This window comes from Homo sapiens, chromosome 3, assembly GCF_000001405.40.
Source record: "Homo sapiens chromosome 3, GRCh38.p14 Primary Assembly".
Taxonomy (NCBI): domain Eukaryota; kingdom Metazoa; phylum Chordata; class Mammalia; order Primates; family Hominidae; genus Homo; species Homo sapiens.
Window position 1 is genome coordinate 125,592,020 of NC_000003.12, and position 6,000 is coordinate 125,598,019.

The 6,000-nt window shown below is 47.6% G+C and overlaps 1 protein-coding gene across 2 annotated transcripts in view, besides 3 other annotated features; it reads right to left on the reverse strand.

The window, feature by feature from the left end:
• OSBPL11 (oxysterol binding protein like 11) overlaps positions 1 to 3,478 on the reverse strand; it is a 66,640-nt gene extending 63,162 nt beyond the window's left edge. For both annotated transcript variants that reach the window (NM_022776.5, XM_047447396.1), the window contains exon 1: positions 2,618 to 3,478. In NM_022776.5, the coding sequence (NP_073613.2) occupies positions 2,618 to 2,781 (164 nt within the window). In that variant the 5' untranslated portion in view covers positions 2,782 to 3,478. The remainder of the gene's footprint in view (positions 1 to 2,617) is intronic.
• Positions 2,006 to 2,065: an enhancer, noted in NCBI's record as "active region_20432". NCBI's record gives its function as "activates an Ori minimal core promoter by ATAC-STARR-seq in GM12878 lymphoblastoid cells {active_cell/tissue: GM12878}" and the evidence as "EXISTENCE:reporter gene assay evidence [ECO:0000049][PMID:35858748]".
• Positions 3,026 to 3,085: an enhancer, noted in NCBI's record as "active region_20433". NCBI's record gives its function as "activates an Ori minimal core promoter by ATAC-STARR-seq in GM12878 lymphoblastoid cells {active_cell/tissue: GM12878}" and the evidence as "EXISTENCE:reporter gene assay evidence [ECO:0000049][PMID:35858748]".
• Positions 3,186 to 3,595: a silencer, noted in NCBI's record as "silent region_14668". NCBI's record gives its function as "represses an Ori minimal core promoter by ATAC-STARR-seq in GM12878 lymphoblastoid cells {active_cell/tissue: GM12878}" and the evidence as "EXISTENCE:reporter gene assay evidence [ECO:0000049][PMID:35858748]".

Consider the following 6,000-nt stretch of genomic DNA (forward strand, 5'->3'; position numbering starts at 1 on the left):
GTAAAACTACCAAATTATTTTAAAACTTCATGAAAACAACTATTTATTTAACTATTTTTGAGACAGGGTCTTGCTCTGTCACCCAGGCTTGAGTGCAGTGGCACAATCACAGCTCACTGGAGCCTAGAACTCAAGCAATCCTTCCACCTCAGCCTCCTGAGTAGGCATGCCACCATGCCTGGCTAATTTTTTAATTTTTTGTAGAGATGGGGTCTCTCTATGTTGCCCAGGCTAGTCTCAAACTGCTGGGCTCAAGTAATGCTCCCACCTCAGCGCCCCAAAGTGCTAAGGATCAACACTTTGGGTGAGCTACAGTGCCAGCCAAAACCAAGTACTTATAAAAGTTACTTTTTATAATTAGAAATGGATGGAAAAGAGGAATAAGAGGTCTGACTTAAAAGTTTTCTGTGTGTCAAAAAAAATGAAATTAAATCTGAGGACTAGTGAAATATTTGCAGAAAGTATAGCAAAGAATTTATACAAAATTAAAATATATTGCATGTCATCACATGTTTATTAAATAAAGAACTAATATAAATTTCTCTGGAATTATAGTCAAGAAATCAGTAAAAGATAGCATTTCCAGAGAAGGAAACCGAGTGGCTGGGAAAGTATGTAAGGGAAATGTTTCATTGTATATACTCATCCCTTTACCTATTGAAAAGAAGAAAAATCAACAAAATATTTTTAAAGGAATATTGGTATTTAATGTTGACATTTTAATAAGAGATATCAAGCATATTAAAAAGAAAAATATTAAGACCTAACAGGAAATGTATAAAAAACACATATGTAGATGTTTCACAAAAGAAAAAAAAATGATCATAAAGAAAAATGAACTAAAAATGCATCAGAAACCTAAACATAAGCACTAAAACAAAACTCCTAGACAAACACATAAGTGTAAATCTTTGTCATCTTAAACTTCACAATGTTTTTTTAGATGTGACACAAAACTATAACAAGAGAAGAAAAAACTCATTAGACTTCATGAAAATTAAAAACCATTGTGCTGCAAACAATATCATCAAGAAAGTTGTAAACCAAAAATAACATTCGAAGGCACCTCACAACCAACTTAATAGACTCCCGGCTCTCTCCAGACCCAAATGTGAATGCCAGGGCCGCGGCGGCGCCCCACCCACAGCCCCATAGCAGGTCAGGACGAAGCGCCACGGACAGGGGACCCGCGGCCCCTGCCACAGGTCACACACATACAAAAAAATCATGCTGATTCCAAAAGCGGGCCTAGACCTCTCAAACTAACTGAATATATCTTCTTATCCTACAGTCACTTACCAATAAAAAGTTATCTTCTGGCCAGGCGCGGTGGCTCAAGCCTGTAATCCCGGCACTTTGGGAAGCAGAGGAGGGCTGATCACTTGAGGTCAGGAGTTCGAGACCAGCCTGGCCAACATGGTGAAACCCCATCTCTACTAAAAATACAAAAATTAGCCAGGTGTGGTGGCGCACGCCTGTAATCCCAGCTACTCGGGAGGCTGAGACACGAGAATCGCTTGAACCCAGGAGGTGGAGGTGGTAGTGAGCCGAGATCGCGCCACCACACTCCAGCCTGGGTGACAGAGCCAGACTCTGCCTCAAAAAAAAAAAAAAAATTATAATCTTCTATACTTCACTTCTATATGTTAATATAGTCATGCATATTTCATACATATGAATATTATTCATGATAAATGTATATCCCTCACAAAATCTTGGCTTTAATCCCTTCCAAGTTTCACAAAAATTTCACAAGCACAAATAAGCACAAAGGCTAAAAAGGACTACAGTTAGGCACATAGGAGTCAATCAAAACTTAAGAATTCATCCCTTTAGTTCCAATACGATGGGATGTGCTGGTTTGTTTCATTCATTCTTAAGGTTCTGGATAGTTCTTTCTCCCTACACTTCATATATGAAAAAACAAAAACAAAACTTGTTGCCTCTCCAGGACTCTCCTCCTGTTCCTTAAGTTGTTCATTCATATTAGTGAAAATTAACAAATATAGACTTTCTCATCAACACAGAGAGCATTGAAGTGGCCTGAGCAACGCAAACTGAACATCTCCAGGCTCAGGTTTAGTTTATCAGAGGCATTAGGATCTCTACCTTTGTCCTTGCATTCCAATTACTTATGTACATTCCCCTTTCCAAGTCACAAATACCTTCAGGGCAAGAATCTTTTCTGATTCTGGAGAAGCTCTGGACAAGTAAGTTTTGAGCACCAGTATTTGCTACCCTCTCGAGAAAGCTGAGTTAAACAGTTCCTGCCCTCGCAGTCTATCAGAGAAAGCTGGCTTGTAAATAAATTGCAACATAGGCAAAAGCAGAAGTGAGTACAGAATTAAATCTGAGGAAGCATTAACTCTCTGACTGTAGAGGAAGTTCAGGGATACATTTCTGTGTTCCTCAAAAGGCCTTCCATAAATACCTGTTGAATGAACAAATGAATGGATTAAATCTTTTAGGCGAGGTCCCAGATCCAAACGAGATGTATCAGTAGCTTCTGGAAGCCAGTGAAAAAACTTTTATCTTTCAACAATTGCGGGATGCAGCCTCCAGGGCATATTCACCCCTACCTCCACCTCGGGAAATAATTTTGGAGAAAGGAGCATACCTGTACTGCCAGCCTTTTGCACTGCCACCGCGGCTGCTGCTGCTGCTACTGATTCCACCTCCACAGCTGCTGTTCTTGTTCGGGGTCACCGCTGTGGCCTGGCCCTCCAGCTTTCCTTCGCTCTCCGAGACTTTCATTGTGGACACTGGTTCACCCCCCTGCATCTTAACGCCAAAGTCCACTTGCCCTTCTTGAGCGGGAGAGAACAATTCTGTAGTTCTGTAGGTGACTTTTTTTTTTTAAGATTTGATCTGAATATGATACCGGTTGCTAAATCACACGGCGGCTGGGGCGGGACTGTCAAATGGTCCAGAAAAGGAAGATACACATTCCCACAGAAGTTAAACTTTTGAGAGGGCAGGGGAAGCAACGAGGACAGATATCCTTCACATGTATCTCTCTCCTTTCCGGCAAAAGCAAGGAGGAAAAAGCATCCGGCGAGAAGACTTAAGTGACATACTCAAAAGAGAAGGAGTGTGGGGAGGTCGCAGATTCTGTAGCCAAGACGGCTGGGAAAAGGACGGAGCGCCACGGACAGGGGACCCGCGGCCTAACCTCGGGGCTGACCCGCCGCGCTCCCTCGTCTCCTCCGCAGGTCCTCAGGCAGTGCGTCCAGTCAAGCCCGCTCGGCAGTTCCCGCCGCAGCCCCCGAGATACAGCCAGGGCCGGCGCGCGCAGCCGGGGAGGAGGGTCGGGGAATGAGGCCGCCGGGGGCGGGACGCCGGCTCCCGGGGCCGCCTCTCCCAGGGCCAGAGGCGAGCCACTCGGGACAACTTCCTCTTATGCCCCTGGCCCGGGCCCTCGACTGGGTTCCCAGGAGCCGGTGAGTCTCTCGCGCTATCTCCAGACCCAAGCGCGAATGCCAGGGCCGCGGCCGCCGCCCCACCCACAGCCCCACAGCCCCACAGCCCCACAGCGGGTCAGCCACCCCCCGCCCCCTGCTCCCTTCCCGCCTTCCCTTCCGGAGTAGCGTGAGCTCACTTCCCTCACAGCCGAAGCGTCTGGCGCCATCTTGGGTCAGGGCGGCGGGTCCCTGAAGGAGGCGGAGGCTCTGGGAGCTGGTAGCTGGGCGACTGGCTGATGGGCGAGGGAGGGCGAGGGAGGGCGCCGCAACGGAACGAGGAACCCGGACAGTGAAGGAGGAAGAAACAAAGGAGCCAGCAGCACTAGAGAGTTCCCTTCTGGTGTGTGAGTGCCCGCCTTCCTTTTTTTTTTTTTTTTTTTTGAGACGGAGTCTCGCTCTGTCGCCCAGGCTGGAGTGCAGTGGCGCGATCTCGGCTCACTGCAAGCTCCGCCTCCCGGATTCACGCCATTCTCCTGCCTCAGCCTCCCAAGTAGCTGGGACTACAGGCACCCGCCACTACGCCCGGCTAGTTTTTTGTATTTTTAGTAGAGACGGGGTTTCACCGTTTTAGCCGGGATGGTCTCGATCTCCTGACCTCGTGATCCGCCCGCCTCGGCCTCCCAAAGTGCTGGGATTACAGGCGTGAGCCACCGCGCCCGGCCGAGTGCCCGCCTTCCTAACCACGTCCTAGCCTTCCATTTGAGGGGCCGTTCCAGGCATTTTAGGAAGAAAGCTTACAAAAATAAGAAAGTACAAGAACGAAGCAAACATCTGTACGTTTTAGTTACTTGGGGTGGGGGGGGGGCAAGCATGACATTGGAGTAAAGCCAATCATTATTATAAATTAAAAAGAAGCTGTCATGGAAATTAGAGATCTCAGAACAGAGCTAGGTACTCTTCCAGACCCCAGACAAATCTTTCACCTTGTTTAGGCCTTGGTTTTGGATTTGTAAAACAAGAGTGCATGGGTAGATTTCTAAAGTCTCTCCTAATTGCTAATTTTAGTTTATAATAACATGACTTGAGGCTGGGCACAGTGGCTCACGCCTGTAATCCCAGCACTTTGGGAGGCCGAGGTGGGCGGATCACTTGAGGTCAGGAGTTCGAGACCAGCCTGGCCAACATGGTGAAACCCATTCTCAACTAAAAATACAAAAATTAACCGGGCATGGTGGTGCGTGCCCGTAATCCCAGCTACTTAAGAGGCTGAGACAGAAGAATCACTTGAGCCTGGGAGGCGGACGTTGCAGTGAGCCTGAGGAAGGAGAGAGACCCTCTCATATTGTTTTATACTCAGTACCTGTTTTAAGAAAAAAAGAAACAGCAAGGAAGTAAAACCAAAGACAGGCAGCCCAGCGCCAGGCCGGAAACCAGGCCTGGGCCTGCCTGGCCTAAACTCAGTAGTTAAAAATCAACTCATAACTTAGAAACCGATGTTATTCATGGATTCCAGACATTGTGCAGCAGAACATTGTGAAACTCCCTGCCCTGTTCTGTTTCTCTCTGACCACCGGTACATGCAGCCCCTGTCATGTACCGCTTGTTTGCTCAAATCAATCATGACCCTTTCATGTGAAATCTTTAGTGTCGTGAGCCCTTAAAAGGGACAGAAATTGTGCACTTGGGGAGCTCAGATTTTGAGGCAGTAGCTTGCTGATGCTCCCAGCTGGATAAAGCCCTTCCTTCTACAACTCGGTGTCTGAGAGGTTTTGTCTGCGGCTCATCCTACTAAAAGCTGAGATTGCGCCACTGCACTCCAGCCTGGACAACAAGAGCAAGACTCAGTCTCAACGAAAGAAAGAAAAAAACAAAAACCGGCCGGGCATGGTGGCTCACTCCTGTAATCCCAGCACTTGGGGAGGCTGAGGTGGGCAGATCACGAGGTTAGGAGATCGAGACCATCCTGGCTAACACGGTGAAACCCCATCTCTACTAAAAATACAAAAAATTAGCCGGGTGTGGTGGCGGGCGCCTGTGGTCCCAGTTACTCGGGAGGCTGAGGCAGGAGAATGGCATGAACCTGGGAGGCGGAGCTTGCAGTGAGCCGAGATTATGCCACTGCAGTCCAGCCCAGGCAACAGAGCAAGACTCTGTCTCAAAAAAAAAAAAGTAAATAAATAAACCTACCGTACAACCCAGCAATCCCACTACTGAGTATCTATCTAAAGGGAAAGAAATCAACATATCAAAAGGATACCTGCTCTCACATGTTTACTGAAGGACTATCACAATAGCATAAATATGGAACCAGCCTGTGTCCATGAACAGATGAATGGGTAAAGAATTTGTGGTATGTAGGCCAGGCACGGTGGTTCACGCCTGTAATCCCAGCACTTTGGGCAGCTGAGGCTGGTGGATCACCTGAGGTCAGGAGTTCGAGACCAGCCTGGCCAACAGGGCGAAACCCCATCTCTATTAAAAATACAAAAATTAGCTGGGCATGGTGGCGCACACCTGTAATCCCAGCTACTCTGGAGGCTGAGGCGGGAGAATTGCTTGAACCTGGGAGGCGGAGGTTGCAGTAAGCTGAGATCGTACC